At 39.4% G+C, this 20,201-nt stretch overlaps 1 protein-coding gene across 5 annotated transcripts in view; it reads left to right on the top strand.

Annotated features, from left to right (window-relative positions):
- GOLIM4 (golgi integral membrane protein 4) overlaps positions 1-20,201 on the top strand; it is an 87,236-nt gene that overhangs the window by 54,777 nt on the left and 12,258 nt on the right. For 2 of the 5 annotated variants that reach the window (XM_005247364.4, XM_047447978.1), the window contains exons 7-14: positions 279-362; positions 4,154-4,312; positions 8,296-8,628; positions 11,112-11,368; positions 11,846-11,928; positions 13,311-13,420; positions 16,053-16,220; positions 16,554-16,622. In XM_005247364.4, coding sequence (XP_005247421.1) covers positions 279-362; positions 4,154-4,312; positions 8,296-8,628; positions 11,112-11,368; positions 11,846-11,928; positions 13,311-13,420; positions 16,053-16,220; positions 16,554-16,622 — 1,263 coding nt within the window. The remainder of the gene's footprint in view (positions 1-278; positions 363-4,153; positions 4,313-8,295; positions 8,629-11,111; positions 11,369-11,845; positions 11,929-13,310; positions 13,421-16,052; positions 16,221-16,553; positions 16,623-20,201) is intronic. The other 3 variants (NM_014498.5, NM_001308155.2, XM_005247365.4) reach the window with 3 other exon arrangements.

Raw genomic sequence — 20,201 nt, 5'->3', positions numbered from 1 at the left:
TTTTTATTTATAAAAGTTTACTAATAATGAGAAATTTGTTTCTTTGGTTTTGATTTCATTGTAAATAAATGATTATGATATTTGGGTAGCACGTTTTAGATTTTGGAATACTACATAAAGCGTAGTGTTCTCTCTACGATGATTTTTAAACTTAACACATGCTGCTACAACAACAAATAAACAAGCAAGTAACATTTGGGTAGCCATATCACGATCAGCCAAAGAAGAATTTGTCGTAGAATGTTAAAGCTCAACATGTAAAATTCTTTTTTGTGTAGCAACAGCATAAGAATTTACTCTCCGAGCATGAACAACTTGTAGTGACTTTGGAAGACCACAAGAGTGCACTAGCTGCTGCACAGGTTAGAAGGGTAGCAGCCTCTGTGGGTTCTTTTACAAGTCTGCTTAACATTTCTCAATTCCTTTATGCATGTAGTCTCTTACAAGCCAATCTTCAGTGAGTTCCTTAGGACAGAGCTATCCTAATCCTGAGGATCATGCATGCTTTCAAAATTCAATCAGTAAGATATTAAACTTTTGATTATTTTTTGCACTGGTTGTGCGGTACATAAATGATCATTTCTTTCCACTCTCGTCCCTACATGCAGTAGTCTAATACTTGTTTAAATCACAGAAATGATCTCACATATATAGTCTTTTGCAACTATCTGATCTGTGTTGACTCTTGGTGTAGTATCTGTAGGATTTTATGCTGCTAGCTACCTAAAACTATTGTCAGACTTTTTCTTCTGTGTCTGCCTTGCTCCCAGAATTCCAGCCTACACACCCTCCTTTTGGAACGAGGCTTATGTGTTGTTGGTCAAATTACAGAAAAGTAGAAGAGTCAACAGAGAAGGAAAAACAAGAGTCATAAGCTCCATTTGTTCAAACCTAGAACAGCTCCTGGCACAAGGCAGGCCCTCAGTATATATTTACTGAATGAACAGGGGAACAAATACAAGTGTTGGAGAGCTTATTAAAGCGATTTCATGCTAAGTGTTATGCAGATTTCTAGCAGAAGGAAGGAAACAGGAATGGCTAGTTTAGTTGCTGTTGTAAACTAGATCTTCACTTTTATTCTTACTGGAGGAATTATGATAAAAGAACAAAGGTAAACGATCTATGCTCATCAGGAAACCCATGTTGGTTTTCTTTTCTTTATAAAATTATTAAAAGGTATAATTTTCTGTCCCTGACCCATCTCAGAGGCTGTAGCATCTGTGTTTGTGAGATTCCTTTTCTAAACAGTCATTGATTAGGTGTCTCCTCCTAAGCTGTAGCTGTGTAGTGATTTTTTACATGTGTATAAATGAAATTGACGTCAGGGATCATTTCATTTCACGTCTTCTTTATAAAAATTTTTGTCAAGTATTATTTTATATGAGGCTGTTCTTCATACTATAAATGTGACAAACTGATTTGAGTGCTCTGTGTGCTGTAACGGCCATAAATGTAAGACTGAGCAACAATTTGAAAATCCATAGAAAGATAAGTAAAATCATTTATTTGATGACCAAAACCAAATTCTGGAGTAGAACTCTGACAGTATTACTCACAGGGTTTTATAATAGAAAAAAAAATTTTGGCCGGGCACCGTGGCTCATGCCTGTAATCCCAGCACTTTGGGAGGCCGAGGCGGGTGGATCACCTGAGGTCAGGAGTTTGAGACCAGCCTGGCCAACATGGTGAAACCCCTTCTCTACTAAAAATACAAAAATTAGCCAGGCGTGGTGGTGTGCACCTGTAATCCCAGCTACCCAGGAGGCTGAGGCAGGAGAGTCACTGGAACCCAGCGGGGCGGAGGCTGCAGTGAGCCGAGATTGCACCACTGCACTCCAGCCTGGGTGACAGAGCAAGACTCCATCTCAAAAAAAAAAAAAAAATTTTTTTTTTCTTAATATATAGTTATAATTTTCTATTTATTGAAATATCTTTTTTGGCGAGGATGCTCAAGGTTTGTCCTGCCTTAAAAAAAAGTGTCAGAACTAGGTGCAATCCTTAATTAGAGCCATATGTGTTAGTTACTTTGGGCTGCTATAACAAAACACCCTAGACTGGGTGTCTTATAAACTATGGAAATGTATTTCTCACAGTTCTGGAGACTGGAAGTCCTAGATCAGGGTGCCAGCATGGTCAGATTCTGGTAAGGGCCCTCTTCTTCCAGGTTGCAGACTGTTGAATTCTCCTTGTATCTTCACATAGCAGAAAGAGACCAAGAAAGCTCTCCTGGATCCCTTTGCAAGGGCACTAATCCCATTCTGTAGGGCTTCACCCTTACGACCTAATTACCTCCCAAAGGCCCTGCCTCCTGATCCATCACATTGGAGGTTAGGATTTTAACATATGAATTTTGAGAGGACACAAACATTCAGTCTGTAATACTGTATTAAGACTTTCCCCAAATCTCCTTTTAAAAAAAATGCTGTTTCAGGCACCTGCATTTCTCATGTAAATCATCTTAGGAGATTCTGCCTTGACAACCTGATTTTTAAATGTAGTTGAGTATTTTATTTAATCCTCACAACCTTGTGAGTTATATAATATTGTACCCTTTTATAACTAAATAAACTGAGATGAAAAGGGAAGTAAAGTAGCTGGCCCAAAATCAATGACCAGAACCAAGGTTGAAGCTCAGGTTATCCTGACTTTGAAATCACGCTTAACTCTTAAGTGATATTTTTTGAGACTTCCTGCATCACAGGTACCTGGGCCTTGTCCTAGACCTGTTGAATTATAATTTCAAGAGTAGGGGACCAGGAGCCTACATTTTTAATATGGTCCCTAATTGTGCAACACACAATTACTGCCTTCAAAGATTATGTGTCTAGGAGAAAGAAGGAGTAGAATTGAGTTTTGTGTATTGCTCCATATTTATCTTAAAATATTAAAAGCATTGCTATGTGTATGTCATTTATTTTTTACCTCCAAAGTTGGTTTGCAAATATTTAGATTTCTCAGATAAAGGCCATTGCTAGTCATATGGTGCACCTTTGTACAAAATTATTAAAAGGCAGTGCCCTGGGAATTATTTAGCAAGCAAACTTCATTACCCTAGTGTACACTAGAAAGAAGCAAAAAAAGCACCTCACTCTTGGGGTGGAAGAGCAGTGTGCCATGGTGCATAGCTATGGCAGCAGGAATGCTGGTGGGTTCTGGCTCCACTCACCTGCTGCGCCCCACACACTGCGGAGCTGGCCCTGTCTGGGAAGCTTGTTGAGAAAAAGACTTCTGTGTTCTCTGCATGTGTTTATATGTCTGTTTACACACACAACATTTCTGTTTTCAGGATAACAGTGTTGGTGTATAGAATGAGCAAAGTATACACAATGCCTCTTGATTTTGTTAATTAAAGTAATTGATTTTTTTCTAATTTTCTAGCTCCTTGTATTAAAAATATTACACAGACATCCACACATCCCACCCCATGTACACACAGGTGCAGCTGTATGAGCAGATTCTAGTCCTGTACCTGTGTTAGTACCTTTGTCACTTTAGAAGAAAAGATCATTCACAATCAAGGATAAAAAAATCCAGTCTATATCACAGCTGTGCCACTGTTTTCCAGAAACCACAGAGCACAGTGTAGGAAACATTCTAGCCAATTAGGGATTCTATTTGAGCACAAATTAACTGAGGGGGAAAATGGTAGCCTGAGTATTTATATGTGTGTGTGTTTGTGTGTGTGTGTGTGTGTGTATGTGTATTTAAAATTTATTTTAAACCTATGACTCCTTTCTACTGAAAGATTTTATTCAGATCATATTGGTAAAAGGTATTTGCACTTGTATTTTTATAATTATATGAGTTTTTAATGGATTTTTTAATATGATAAAACATCACAGAACGGTCTTTTAATAGTGATATTTATATTAGTAAGTTATTTACAAAAGTTCTGACTTCAGTGTAGTATGGGAAACTAACATCTGTCTTAGATATTTTTTCTGTTTCCTTCAGCTCTGTTTCTAATTTGCATGCGCTCAAAAATGATTAAGCATGCCCAAGTAAGAATAGTGAATGCATGGAAACAATCTGTATGTTTTTCTAACTTGTATTTAGGTACAATATTTTTGTCTAGTTTTACAGTGTACCCAAATGCCCATCTATGAATGGGCATTCATAGATTCCCTCCTCAAATTGTGCAATTTATATGCAGACTCAAGTTGCAGAATATAAACAACTGAAAGATACTCTGAATAGGATTCCAAGCCTTCGAAAACCTGATCCAGCAGAACAGCAAAATGTGACCCAGGTGGCACATTCTCCACAAGGTTACAACACAGCAAGGGAGAAGCCAACCCGAGAGGTGCAGGAGGTAAGGGGCGTGAACTGGTAATCTATGGTTAGGTCACTTTCTCTGTCAAGTTGCCAAGAGGGGACCTGCTTTTAATATTGCCAACTTTTCTGGGAGAGCAGTAGTTCTCAAATTTTAGTATATCAGAATTGCCAGTAGGGCGTGATAAAACACAGATTACTGGGTCCCAGGCCCAGAGTTTCTGATTTAGTTAATTTGGAGTGAGGCCTAAAGATTTGCATTTCTAACTGATTTAGCTGGTCTGAGTAGCAAACTTTGAGAACTGCTGCTAGTATTTTCTTTCTTTTTTTCTCTGAGACAGTGTCATGCTACGTCGTCCAGGCTGGAGTGCAGTGGCACAATCTTAGCTCACTGCAACCTCCGCTTCCCGGGTTCAAGCAATTCTCCCTGCCTCAGCCTCCCGAGTAGCTGGGATTATAGGCGCCCGCCACCACGCCTGGCTAATTTTTGTATTTTCAGTAGAGACAGGGTTTCGCTATGTTGGCCAGGCTGGTCTTGAACTCCTGACCTCAGGTGATCCGCCCGCCTTGGCTTCCCAAAGTGCTGGGATTATAGGCGTGAGCCACCACACCTGGCCGCTGCTAGTATGTCTGAGAAAGGCTTTAATGGCTTTGTCTTTATTCATGTAGGTTTATTTGTCTTCAAGGAGTTGTAGTATCTGAGTTTTTCAAGGTTGGGGATTTTGCGGGGGTTAGGGTGAGAACGTTAAATGATCATGAGGATTTTATGTGACAGTCAACCCACTCAAATATTAAAGTTAATAATATATTTTAACTTGGAGCAGTGCTAGGTCTACACAGAGCATGTCAAAATTTGAATTAAATGACCTGTTTGACACTCCTACGGGTATGAGTGCTAGTCAAATAATACACCTTTTTATATTCTTGTTCTTTATAAAAATTAAGCCTTAAGAATATCTCATAAGTGAGACATCAGAAGTAGTTACCATTACCACTAATTTCTACAAAGGTTGTTTTTTTTTTTTCCAATCATCTGTAATAAAAAAATAGGCAATATGGTTATCTTTCTGACAAAGTGGTTGTTTTAAACTTTTAAGTTCAGGGGTACATGAGCAAGTTTGTTACGTAGGTAAACTGTGTCATGGGAGTTTGTTGTAAAGATTATCTTATCACCCAGCTATTTAGCCTAGTACCCATTAGCTATATTCCTGCTCCTCTCCCTCCACCTTCTGATAGGCCGTACAGTGTGTTGTTCCCCTCTATGTGCTTATGTGTCTCATCATTTAGCTCCCACTTATAAGTGAGAACATGTAGTATTTGACTTTCTGTTCCTGTGTTGGTTTGCTACAGATGATGGCCCCCAGCTCCATCCATGCCCCTGCAAAGGACATGATCTTGTTCTTTTTTTATGACTGCATAGTATTCCATGGTGTTTATGTATCACATTTTTCTTTATCAAAGTCTATAATTGGTGGGCATTTAGGTTGATTCCATGTCTTTGCTATTGTGAATAGTGTTGCAGTGAATGTGTCTTTATAATGGAATGATTTCTATTCCTCTGGGCATATACCCAGTAATGGGATTTTGCTGAGTCAAATGGTATTTATATCTTTAGGTCTTGGAGCAGTCTCCACACTGTCTTTCATGATGGTTGAACTAATCTGCACTCCCACCAACAGTGTATAACCATTCCTTTTTCTTCACAACCTCGCCAGAATCTGTTATTTTTGACTTTTTAATAATAGCTCTTCTGACTGGTGTGAGATAATATCTCATTGTGGTTTTGATTTGCATTTCTCTAATGATCAGTGATGCTGAGTTGTTTTTTTTTTTTTTTTGTATGATTGTTGGCCACATATATGTTTGTGTTAGTCCGTTTTCATGCTGCTCATAAAGACATACCCTAGACTGGTTGATTTAAAAAAGAAAGAAGTTTAATTGGACTTACAATTCCACATGGCTGGGGAAGCCTCACAATCATGGTGGAAGGCCAGGAGGAGCAAGTCCCATCTTCCATGGATGGCAGCAGGCAGAGAGAGAGAGCTTGTGCAGGGTAACTCCTCTTTTTAAAACGATCAGATCTTGTGAAACTTGTTCACTATTGTGAGAGCAGCACGGGAAAGACTTGACCCCATGATTGAGTTACCTCTAACCGGGTTCTTCCCACAACACGTGGGAATTCAAGATGAGATTTTGGTGGGGACACAGCCAAACCATATCAGTGTCTTCTTTTGATGTGTGTGTTCATGTCCTTTGCTCACAAAGTGGTTTTTAACATTAAAGAGAAGACTGAGAAAACTTTCCTCCAAGTTATGGGAATAATTAAGTTGATATGAGTAGACTTCATATATGAGCCTCTTCACTCTGTTCAGGGTATTCCTTCAACAGACAGGTTCAGTATCTTCATGGACTCTTATTCTTTCTCAGGCTCTTATGTTAATAACTAAAGAGAGCATGACCAGATCACTGGCCTGGCAGTTGGTTCTATTTTCTGCCCTTGTCAGACTGCCAGTTTACTGGATTAATCTTCCAGTGACTCAGATCTTCAGTTTTTCCATCTCTGAGGTGGAGATAGGAGTTATCTGCACTAACCTTCCTCACTAGGATATTGTGAAGATAAATGACAAGTGTTTGAAAGTACTTAGAGCTCTTTAGAGAAATATTTTTCTGTAAAGCCAGGGCAGTATTATGTCAAACTTGCCAGATATGTGAGGATGTCGGTGGAATGTGCAACTCCAGTTGTCCTCAAATGTCTGAGAAAGGACTTTTCTCCCCAGTTTATTAATACAGTCCAATTTCTCAGATTTGATAATTATATCTCTGCTAATTTAAGAATAGGATTTCACATTTATTTCAATTTTGGGAGAGCAGTCTAACCAAAGAAGATTTTTTTTTCTGAAGGTTAAAGAGAAAAAAAGAGTGACGTTTGTTTCTGTTGATATACTATATTCTCTTTCTTCCTCACTTTCTAGGTAGTGCAGATCATATAGAGATCGCTGAAACTTATAGGGAGAACTGATTTGAGTCAACTAATTTTAGAGGAGGGTTATTCTGAAAAAGCCATTTCTTCTTTTTCTGCTCAGGGTTTTCAATATTAGCAATAAAAAATGTTTACAAAAGAGTCCTGCTGGTTTACAAATAATTACTACTTTAATACATTAAAAATATTTTATTGTATCTTGTTTAACAGGCACTGTGTTGAACTAACATGGATGTTCATTAGTAATGGCATTCTTTTTTTTTTTTTTTTTTTTTTTTTTTTTTTTTTTGAGACGGAGTCTTGCTCTGTCGCCCAGGCTGGAGTGCAGTGGCGCAATCTCGGCTCACTGCAAGCTCCGCCTCCCGGGTTCACGCCATTCTCCTGCCTCAGCCTCCCGCGTAGCTGGGACTACAGGCGCCCGCCACCACGCCCGGCTAATTTTTTGTGTTTTTTTAGTAGAGACGGGGTTTCACTGTGTTAGCCAGGATGGTCTCGATCTCCTGACCTCGTGATCCACCCGCCTCGACCTCCCAAAGTGCTGGGATTACAGGCGTGAGCCACCGCGCCCGGCCAATGGCATTCTTTTTTAAATTAGTAAACCAAACTAGTAAAAACTAAACCCAACTCCTCAATTTTATTTCATCCTTCTCTTTTCAAATAATTACTGAAAACAAAATTTACATTGAAGAAAATTATGTAAACATTTCATCACTTGAAGTTTGAGGTTTTGTTCCTTTTTATTCTAAGGGAAAATAGGAATTAGAGTACTTCTGAGATATTGGTTACTTGGAGGTTTTATTTTCCAGGTTATTTACTGTATTCTTCACAGATGAAGTTTTGCTTATATTATGTCTATTTTATAAGTGAGATTACACAGTAAGAAACTTAAGTGACTCCATTGCAGCCATAAAGCCAGGACTATATATATTTCTAGACACCTTCTTCTGTTGTAGCCCCATGCCCCATAGACATGGAAATCAAGAAATTACATCATTACTTTTGAAATTGGAAGAGTGTCATTCCCAGTGATGTGCTTGGCCTAGGTGTCTCGAAATAATGATGTGTGGCAGAACCATGAAGCAGTTCCTGGAAGAGCAGAAGACACAAAACTCTATGCTCCCACCCATAAGGAGGCAGAATTTCAGGCTCCCCCAGAGCCAATCCAACAAGAAGTGGAACGCAGAGAACCTGAGGAGCATCAGGTGGAAGAGGAGCACAGAAAGGCCCTGGAGGAGGAAGAAATGGAGCAGGTCGGGCAAGCAGAACATCTTGAGGAGGAACACGATCCATCACCAGAGGAGCAGGATCGGGAGTGGAAAGAGCAGCATGAGCAACGAGAAGCAGCCAACCTCCTGGAAGGGCACGCGCGTGCTGAGGTATGAAGTCACCCGCTTCTGGTATGGTGTACTGGGATGGAAAACCTGGCTTTATTTTTACATATTAAGGTAATATATCACAATCTCTAAAATAGAAATGTGAGTGATTCTACTAAACATTATATGCTCATATTTAAGTTTTCTCTTGTAATGTTAATAGCATAGCTATTCGCATACCTCAGAAAGATGATTGGTGATGAGAGAGCACAGCTGTTGTATGTGTGCATTCTTCTTTTTGTCAGTTGTACACAGTCAGAGATTCATTCTCACATCACCTTAATAGAGTAGAACAGGTGAGTACCTGATGGGGCACCTTCCCAGCTTGTACCCAAGTTTTGTCTTGAGCATCTTGAGGCAGAGAAAAATCTCATTTTCTATGATCAGGCGTCCTCCTCTCCCTGTTCATTTATTGTCAGTATGTTGCCTTTTGTATTCACCTTCAAGGTGGTTATTTAATTATCAAAAATCTGATTTTACTACTTGGAGATATTCTACTAGGTGAGCATATCTAAACAGCCTCTGCTCAGGATCCCTTACTGGACACGCCACTTACACGTAAGACTTTTCCCTTTCTTAAAAAAAAATGGCCAGGATTATTATAAATGATGCTTTAAAAGAAAACTCTACCCTTTCTTCTTTTAAACCAACAGTTAGTGCAGCTAGATGCCTTTCTTTTACTGTCTCTAAACTGAGTCTCAATAGTAGGTTACCTGGCCTTTACATGGGTGTGGATCACCTTCTATTTATAACTCTGAAGTTTTATTCGGCCTCAGATTTTCTGAGACTTCAAGCCGCTTGAGGCTTTAGGCTAAGCAGGTGTGAAGACCTCTGTAGTTGCCCTCTTAGGTAGTTGCAAACTTAACCTCAGAAAGCTTCTTCCAGTCTTGTGTCCTTCCCCAATAGGGGAAGTAATTCCCCACCAGCTTTACTTCCCAACCCTCTACCTCTTTCCTTAAGTGAGAATTGTGTGTGCTTTTGTTAGTTGGGGTATGGCAGGGAGGATGGGTAGTAGCTCAATGGGGTACAGACACTTTTTATTGATGCATAATATATGTATATATTTTCAGAGTATGGGCGATATTTTGAAACATTCATATAATGTATAATGATCAAATCTAGATAACCCATCACATCAAACCTAGATAACCCATCACATCAAACATTTATCTCTTTTTTATTTTGGGAGCATTCAAATTCTTCTAGCTGTTTTGAAATATAAGATAGATTATTGTTAATCGTAGTCACCCTACTGAACTACCAAACATTAGGTCTTATTCCTTCTCTCTAACTATATGTTTGTACCATTCATCAGTCTCTCTTCATCCCCCTTCCCAGCTTCTAGTAACCACCAATCCACTCTATCTTATCAATATCGCTTTTTTAAGCTCCTACATGAATGAGAATATGCAATGTATGTCTTTCTGTGCTTGAAGTTTTTCACTTAACATAATGGCCTCCAGTTCCATCCATGTCACTGCGTATGACAAGATTTCATTCTTTTTTATGACTGTGTATATGTACCACATTTTCTTTATCCATTCATCCGTTGATGGATGCTTAGGTTGATTTCATGTTTTAGCCATTGTGAGTAATGCTGCAATAAACCTGAGAGTGCAAGTATCTCTTCAATATAGCAATTTCCTTTCTTTTGGATATGTGCCCAGTAATAGGATAGCTGGATCATATGGTGGTTCTATTTTTAGCTTTTTGAGGAACCTCCATACTGTTTTTCATATTGGCTATACTAATTTACATTCTCACCAACAGCGTACGAGGGTTCCCCTTTCTCCACATCCTCACTAGCGTTTGTTGTTGCCTTTTTGATAAAAGCCATTATAACTGGGGTGAGATAATATCTCAGGGAAGCAGAGTTTTAAGAATTGCTGTATCAGATTTCCCTTTAATCAGAAGGCACCATCTTCTCAGCCATTCTTAGTTTCTTTGAAAAAAAATTGAATATCTGCTTTTCCACTATTACCTGGAATGTGGCTTTTTTTTTTTTTTTTTTTGGCTATGCTTAGCCTGGGATTGGTATATACATTACTAGAGTTAATTAGCATCCCTCGGTCTTTAACTGTTCATGGAAAAAGCCTTAGGCGTAGCATAAGGTCACAGATTGCCCAGTTAATGTGAAGTTACCAAAGTTACCAACTACTTGTTTATATCAGAGCCTTGTGAACATAAATTTTACAGTTTGAAACTGTTATCTTCGGTTGTCCCTTCTGTTCCATTTGAGAAGGGAGCACATTGAAAATCTGCCTTAATAGCAGTAGTTGGAAATATCAGCTGCTAAAAAAGCCAAGGGTGATTCAGAGAAAGTTGGGAAATAGGAGTTTTTGGACTTCATGTATAATCACAGTTCACCTGACAAATAGTCGTTAATAAACCAGCTCTGCCTCCTGAGTTTGTCAGGAGAAACAAATGAAGAGAAAACCCAGAGGAGCTAACCCCTCTTGCTCTGCACCAACTCTTTTTCACCCTAGGTGTACCCTTCAGCCAAGCCAATGATCAAATTCCAATCACCCTATGAGGAACAGTTGGAACAGCAGAGACTGGCAGTGCAGCAGGTGGAGGAGGCCCAGCAGCTGCGGGAACACCAGGAAGCTTTGCACCAGCAGAGGCTGCAGGGGCACTTACTACGGCAGCAGGAACAGCAGCAGCAGCAGGTGGCAAGAGAGATGGCCCTGCAGAGGCAGGCTGAGCTTGAGGAGGGCCGGCCGCAGCACCAGGAGCAGCTCCGGTAGCCTTCCCCTTCCTTAATGAACGAAGACAGCCCCTGCTCCAGTTTTCATACGCAAATTAAAAACAGTTTTGTGCATTTGTGATTCATGAAGTTAAGGGGCTCATATTGCTCAAATAGCCAAGGCAGGACAGCTACTTGAAAATTAAATACCAAATATTTAATTTTAAAAATAATATTTTTTTTCTGCTCAAAAGTGGTAGGTTAGGTCTCCAAATAGCCTTGCAGGCTTTGTGCCAACTTTATTTTATTTTATCTTTAAAAGATATTTTATCTTTTTAAGATACCTTTTGAAAGTGTATCTGGAATTTTTATTATACCTAATTGCATACATAAGAGGTTTTTAAAAATTTTTCATGGCTTCTTAAAAATGTTGAGAAACATTACTTATTACTGTCTTTAAAGATAAATGACCTATGTCAAACTGTGCCTCTGAATTTTGTCCCACTGGATTTATCATGTTTGTGTCTCTTGTAGGCAGCAAGCTCATTATGATGCTATGGATAATGATATCGTTCAGGGAGCAGAGGACCAGGGAATCCAAGGAGAGGAAGGAGGTGGTGAGACTTCCTAGATGATGAATGTTTTAATAAATTACTTGATAACATTGTATATTATCAGTGAGCCAATATTATATAACATCAATGAGCTGTATGCATACCTAAGTGCAAAGGAGGTTTGTGAATCATGTCTTTTTCTTAATCCTCTTAAACAGTACATGCTGGTAGTGAAAAATGCTCAAGATAATCTGTTTCCTCTCTATCATTTTCCCTGTAGTTTAAGCTTTTTATATACTAAATATTTATAATATTTCTGACAAATTATTATAGGATTATTATGCTTTGGGAAACATCTGCATTTTCTCCTTACCTTGGAAGTCCTCACATCATTGCCTTAAAATGTTTTCAAATTAAGTCAATAGTAGCTTTCATTTATGATAAGCACTTAATATGTAATTTATCAAATATTGCTTACTGTTATAATAGAACCAGAATGTAACTTACTGTCTCTCTGGCACCACTAACACTTAGATGTGTATCTTTTTCTAAAAAGTCAGAAAGAAAGTGATTACATACAACCTCCCTCAATAGCCCGTTGTGATATCTTACAGCTCTTACAGTCAAGAAATTGTTTTCCTTATGTCCGCCATGTGGCACTTTAAGCTTTTTTGTTCTCATATCAGTAAGACTAGAGAATGGCTTGTCCTCTTCTCTATGTAGTAAACCCCTTTGTGCACTTGAAGGCTGATGGTAAGTTACCCCGTATCATCATTTTCTCTAGGCTTAGTACACTCCATATACTTAAACTTTCCTCTTCTATCTTACTTGTTTTAAAAAGTGATTTGTTCTTCTCTTTTTGTGCTCATACAATTCTCTTTATCTAAATATTTTTTCAAAAAGCAGCAAGTAAATGTCTGAGTATGAATGTGTGCTGTTTCTGGGCTGTGGCGGTCATCATCATTACTGTGATGACATCAGAAAACATGTGATGGGCTATATTTGTTTCTGAGCTCCACAGATGGGGCAGTTCTTCCTTGCATTTCCTGAAACTATCAATTTCTTCTTTTGGAGCCCAGCTACTTCCTCTGATATTATCAAACATTAGTTGATTTCTTCAGCAGTGTCCAATCAACTGGGCTTTCTTTTATTGAGAGAGTTTTGATTGTTGTTGTTTTCTTGCATATGGGGGAAAAATTACAGCTCCTGTGAAAAATATTTATTTTAGAAGAAAAGTGTCTGACCCATATCATCTCTCTAGACACACAGTCTGTGAAGAGAACATAACCTTATTCAGAAAAGCCAGGACATAGGCCTTATGTTGAGTTAACAGAGGTGGAGGTATTGTAGTCTGTAGAAAAGTCCACTGGTGGCTTTTCTTTGAGTTGAAAGGGAAATCCTGTTTGATTCATTTTGGGCTGATTTTAGTTCCTTTGATTTGCTAGCCTATGAAAGAGACAACCAGCACCAAGATGAAGCAGAAGGAGATCCAGGTAATAGACATGAGCCTCGTGAACAAGGACCCCGAGAAGCCGACCCAGAATCTGAGGCAGATGTAAGTATCCTCTCTTCTGCCCCTGACACATGTAAACTCATAAGGTGGGAAAGAGAGTTGAAAACTTGCCTGATGCCAGCCTTCAGCCCCAGATATTTCTGTTATATCCTCAGCCCAGAAGGAAAATGGCTTGCATAATTATATATGGGCAGTGTTTTTAACTGTAAACCATGGTGTACGTGTATGTGATGAGCTGGTTTAAAAGTTGCTCTGGGGGAAAAAAAAAAACAAAACCAGGATTTTTTTTTTCTGATGACTTTTAGATTAATAAAACTAAAACCTAGAAAAGCAAAACTGAGAGACACTGAAATATGTAGTAACTCTGAAAGCTAGGAGGAATAAAAGGCAAGTGTGGAAGTTGGAGATGGGACCAGAGAAAGGAAACTAACCCTTCCTGAGCATGTTGAGCAGTCTGCTAGAGTGTTAGGTATTTGTGTGACTCTCTGTAATCTCTTAGCAGTCTAGTGACCATTTTAATAAATATATGGATAAGGATATGTGGTCTGAGACATGAAGAGTTGTTCAGGTATGCAATGGTACAGAAAATTTATAATATAAGTAGGTAGACATCTAATAACCAGCATTGTTGTTTGTGTTTACCAAAAAAGACTGAGACCTCTAGTTCAGCTGGGTGGGCTAGATCCTTGGCCCTGCCTACAAGTGAAGCAAGCAAATGTTTAGTGAGTCTGTTCCTGCGTGTATGCGTAGATGATTTTTACAGCTTATTTTAGCTGCCCTGTCATCTCTTGCTAATAGATCAACTACCATGTTTATAACAGTCGGTCTGTGCTATGTCACATGAGCCCTGATTAAAAGGAGGACCCATGTCCTTGCTAATCATCAAGAAAGTCATCCTGCTAGCTACTTAAAGCCCTTTTGCTGGAAACAGCTTTTCCACTTAACTTGCACTGAGATGTGGCAGAACACCTTTCCCTGGCATTCCTTGCATCAAGATTTCTGAAAATATGCTCCAGGGAACCTAGTCCTGAAATATTTTCAGGAAAAGGCTAATACTTGAGAGCAGAAACATATGAGAGAGCAAGAGACTATCCAGGAGAGAGCAAGAAAGCAAGTGTACAAAGGCCTGCAAATGTGCATGGGGTGGGAGGAAGGGCATTTCAGTCACTTGTTTGGGAACTGCTGTAGGCTTTGATTTCTTGACTATATGATCCTTTACTTTCCTGTCATCTGTTTGTTTGTTTTGGGGAACATGCTGGGAAACATTGGCCTTTGTACCATTCTTCCTTTTAATTAGAAATGGTTAATCCCACTTGTTCCTCTCTTTCTGTTTTATTTGAACGTAACAACTGTGCCTGCTAATTCATACCTGTTACGTGGTCGGAGTTGAGCTAGTCAATTTTATGAACGTTTGCAAAAGATATTTGGTACTTTTTTCTGAAAAGAATATGTTACATTTTTCCTGTAATTCCATACAAATTTTTGATAGTGCACTAAAGAAAATCCATATGACAAGAGATTGTGGAGTAATTAGAGTTTAGTGTGAAGGTGGTAATTTGGTAGTCTCTACGTTCCCAAGAATAGTGTCATTTGCACTGGAGTAACATTCATGGCCAGGGATGTGCAGATAATAGATCAGCTGAGATGGCAGTGAACTCTCAAACATGTTCAAGACTCCTAAGTGAATTGAAGTAGAATCTTGTCTGGAGAATACTGATAGAGACCAAATCCTACTCTGTGGCTTTACTGTCTCTTAGAAGCATTTACAGCTTAGTAAGTGTCCTATTGATGACCTGCGAGTGATTGGGGAAGCTCATGACAAGCATCACTGTTCCTCTCCATCTCAGGCTCTAAAATCTAAATCTTTATTAGGATGTGTATTATTTGGAAGGTGCTTTGGGAGCTTAAGTGGAAAATTGAAATAATTCTAAAGTTGATAATATGAAGGGCCTTTGTTGAGCACAGTAATTTGGGAGATGAGTTGGGAGGACATTTTTCATAATATATTGCCCTATTGGGCAGTTGGGTAGCTCAGCCCTTTTTAACTCCCATCCCTCGCCAGTTCAGCATCTCTCTGTTTCATGGGAATGATTGTTAATAAAGAAATTGGATCCATACTAGAAAATGACCATTTCCTTTTGAATTAGCCTTTTTCTTGTCTCCTTTTCGTATCCTTTTTATGGGTCCTTTCTGGTATGGGCCTTCTTTCCCATCAACAACTTTTCACCTGCTGACATGTTAAAAATTGCTTGCACAGGGAAGTTACTATAAAAATCAACATAGCAAAAAGAGTTAATTGCCCATCTAAATCCCCCACCTAAATTAGTATTTTTTTTGTCACTTGGTCCTCTGACTTTTATTAATTATTTTCTTGTTTATTCAGTTCTGTTCACATTACTTGTGTCAGTAGAGTTTTGAGAACTATTTTGAAATCACTTGCAGGAAAGAAGTGCTATTTGAACCTCATTCTGATTCATCAAGCCTCTGACAAGTAAAGCAGGAGTTTTCTCTTTTGACAGTGTGATGCTTGATTCTTGTGAGTCTTGGCAAGGATAGATCTGAACAATTGAGGGAAGGACAATTTCATTTTCTGCCAGTGGGCAGCCTTTTCAAATGAAATTAAACTTGATCCTCAGTTTTGAAGTGATAGTTGCTTTTTATTAAAATTTTACAGAGGGCAGCTGTAGAAGATATAAACCCAGCAGATGACCCTAATAATCAAGGTGAGGATGAATTTGAAGAAGCCGAGCAAGTGAGAGAAGAAAATTTGCCAGATGAAAATGAAGAGCAAAAACAAAGTAATCAAAAGCAAGAGAATACAGAAGTGGAGGAACATTTGGTGGTAAGCAGATGCCACGAGGAAGGGTGGATTTAACTGGGCTATTTTAAGAAACATCTGGTTTATGTAAAAGGTTAGTCATATTCCACATTGACGGAAGGTTTGCCACTTCGGTGGTTTTTAGGCCACTTTATGACATGATATGCCTGTACTCTGAGAGAGAGGGTAACGGACATCCTGGGCTTTGTATTGGGAATGATTACTCATCATTTCCTGGCCACAGACGCTTTGAAAGTGCCCTTTTCATGGTGGCATGCTTGTTCTTTGTCCCAGAGTACTGTGTAAAAGGCATCTCTGATGTACAGTAACATGAACCTGCCCTTTTGTTTCCAACAGATGGCAGGAAATCCAGACCAGCAGGAGGACAATGTTGATGAACAGTACCAGGAAGAGGCAGAAGAGGAGGTAGTAAGGATTGAATCCCAGAGACTGATCAGATTGGTCTGTCACACACACTAACCTTAAACAAACCTCAGCAGTATTGACTTTGACATGCCTTCCACAGAAATGTTCAGAAAAATTTAAGCAGGATAAGAAAGGGTGGTTTAAAGCAAAAATGGATCATGGCACTGGAGACATTTGGTTAGAAGATAACAAAAGCAGGGTAATAGAATCCATCTCTTTGGTTCTCACCTGAAATTTTGAATTAAGAAGGCATTTGGCTTTCCAGGAATGGTGGACTTAGATTTGTGCAATCTTTTGTAAGAATATTTTCTCCTCTCTCCCTCTGCACATTGAGGGAATCTGGACTGCCCCTGTAACTTTCTCTTCAGGCATCTCCCCAGTGCCTACCTCACAGGAATACCCCATAGTGTCTATCGGAATCCACTTAACACCCTCCAAACATTTTTGTAAATTTTACAGTCTCTCCTTCTGGCCTCTTCCTTCTTAAGAATTCAGTATCTTAATTAAATTTAACAATAAAAGAGGAGGAAAAAGATGTAAAGAGCTCAGCTGAATAAAATGCATTTGGATAGAGTTTCTTAATATTTTAGTTTGCTTTTCATTGTAAACTTCGGGCATCTTGTTGTTAATTAGATATAAGTAGCGTTTATTGTGGTGCTGCTTACGGTGTAGTTGATTATTGTGGTGCTGCATGTGGTGTAATTGGTGAATGCTGCTTGTTGTAGCCGTTTTATCACAGCATTCCGCTGCATAAACAACTGCAATATTTAAGAGTCTGATACAAATTAGGCCAAGACCCTGTATTTAGTCTCATTATGGACCAGTAAGTAGTTCCCAAATTAAAACCCTGGTTCAGAGCTGCTTCTCAGCCAGGTGTCTTGCAAATGTGTGGTTTTATCCCTATGGGGAACCCCATGGGAGGATGGACATATGGCAGACTGAACAGACACACCCCATCACTGGAGATCCTGTGCAGAAATCATGAGCTGTGCTCTCACACACACAGTTCCCTCGACTAGGTCTGCTTTCTTGTTCTTACTGATTTTGTAAGCTTTTCAGAGCTGATGATAAAATTTGTGCTTATACCAGGAAAACAGAAAAGGATGTTGCTCTTTAAGGTCACTGGCAACATTTCTAATAACATGCACTTTAACTGGCTTGATCTTTTTGTTCTTTGGTTTCTCATCCTAATCAAGACCCTTGGCTGTCTTGTCAGAAAGAGAGCAGCAGAGAAAATAGTGACCTTGAATATTAAGACATTGGGCAAGAAAAAGATATTCATCCAGGCTTCTCATATAACAGGATGTCTAGACTAATACCACTTTGTTTTATTATGTCCAATACTAGGAATCTTTGAGGGATTAAAAGAGAAAAGTTCACCTTGGCTTCTTTTTTAAAAATTCAGAAGATTAAACATAAAATTTTAACCAGTGTTTACTGATTCCTTTTCAATTTTATATTATGATCAGTTAAGGTACAGGAGAGAAATCCTGAGATCCAAGAGGAATCAAGAGTAGAAAGAGAAGAAAGAGGCAAGAGGAAAGGAGAAATGGTGCTAAGACAGAGGAGGTTGCCCTGGCTGAGTGCTGCCTAAACTCAGCAACTGCTCCTCATCCCACCAGTCATCCCCTTCAGATCTGCTGGACTGACAGGACTCTTCCTCTTGCTGCACCTGGCCCCAGGTCCTAATTCGGTTTACCTGGTTCCCTGCCAAAAATTCTTAAAGCAGTGTTCAGGCCTCCTCCAGCATGTGCTCCAGGTTACCACCCCATCACTGAGAACTGTTGCTCCATGTGCTCTTAGTGGAAGTCCCACGTGCCTTTTTTTCTTCCCAGTGTAAACTTTCCTCTCTGCCCCCGAGTGTCCCTTGTTCATGTTGTGTTGTATTTTTGTGTGTGGTTATGAGATGATTAATGTTTGCATCTTCCCACCTCTGTCCATCGTTCCCAGGTCTTCCCTTGAGAGAGGAGAAGAGTGGTTCCCAAATACCATTTAAGCACTAGTGATAGAGACAAAGTTCTTGTCAGACTATGGCAAAATGAGAAAAATAAAGGGGAACATAGAATATGGAAACACATACTGCATTGTTTATAAGTGCATATGTGTATGAAACCTCATTGGTGGAAGCACTCTGAAAAACCATGAAATGTTGTGGAACTGTGCATTATTGTTGTTGTTGTTTTTTTTTTTTTAATCTCCATTTAACCTTAGAGTCTTGCAGCTGCCCCAGCTAACCACTAGAATGCAAGGCCTGTGGCTGCCATCGCTTCCCTTCCTCTCCAGCGCACAAACTTATTTCTGTCAGCATTTCCTCCTGGGGAAGAATTGCCTCTTGCCTGGGCCACACCTGTTCAGAGGTATAGCCCATCAAACTTACAGACTTGGCCTCTAAGAGGACCCAAAAGAAGTATGATTTTAGGAAATTTATACTACTCTGCCTTCTTTTATCTTAGTGCAGTAGTGTTATCTTTCTAAGACTTACAAGCATTTCTTGTTTCTTGTTTGGGATTGTTTGAATGGAAGGCATGATCCCTTCCTTACGTTGCTTACATTCCAAACGTTTTATCGCCTTGTAAGCAAACAAGACAATTTATGGCATTGCCAAAAAGTGCCGTGTAAGCTTTAAAATTACTTACATGTTCAAAAATATATAGATTAAATGACCAAGAAATCAGAATACTTTAATTTCCCTCAGTGTAACTGAAAACTGATTAATCTGAACATGCAGAAGAGAATAAGTACAAGGCATTTGTTCACCTTCACTGGCCAAATATGTACGTACACCTACATGAGACTACCAGCCTGTGAATCACCGTGTCAAGAAGCTTTTCTTTTTTTTTTGTTTTTTGTTTTTTGTTTTTTGAGACAGAGTCTGACTGTCACCCAGGCTGGAGTGCAATGAGGTGATCTCGGCTCACTGCAACCTCCGCCTTCCGGGTTCAAGCAATTCTCCTGCCTCAGCCTCCCGAGTAGCTGGCATTACAGACTTCTGCCACCATACCCGGCTAATTTTTGTATTTTTAGTAGAGATGGGATTTCACCATGCTGGCCAGGCTAGTCTTGAACTCCTGACCTCAGGTGATCCTCCCACCTCTGCCTCCCAAAGTGCTGGGATTACAGGTGTGAGCCACCATGCCTGGCCAAGAAGCTTTTCGATTGGAAGAAACTCTCTTGTTAAAGCAGGGTGTTCGTCACTATAGCTAATGTTGCTGAAGGCCTTTTGTTCATCACATTCTATCTATCTCTTTGGATCCTACTGTTCTTACCTACTTGAGGCTCAGCTCTCTGCCCTGGCACACCCATAATATCTTCAATGTGTAAAAGAAAGGTGTTAATAGACACCAAGAGAGGATATCTAGCCAAAGCCCATTTCAGACTCTTCTCAGTGGACCTGTTTTATTTTGGATTTGGCCGTTTATTAAACTTTGTGTCATCAGATAAGGCTCATTTCTAAAATGCCTAGAACATATTTCAGTAGATAAAAATGAGTAACAAGAAGCATTGTTTGGGAAATCTGACAAAGCATTGTGACAGCTTTAGCAGGTTGCTAAGAGGGCCAGTTGTGGGAGACATAATCTG

Source organism: Homo sapiens, chromosome 3 (assembly GCF_000001405.40).
Source record: "Homo sapiens chromosome 3, GRCh38.p14 Primary Assembly".
NCBI lineage: Eukaryota > Metazoa > Chordata > Mammalia > Primates > Hominidae > Homo > Homo sapiens.
This window is presented reverse-complemented; position numbering and strand designations above follow the sequence as displayed.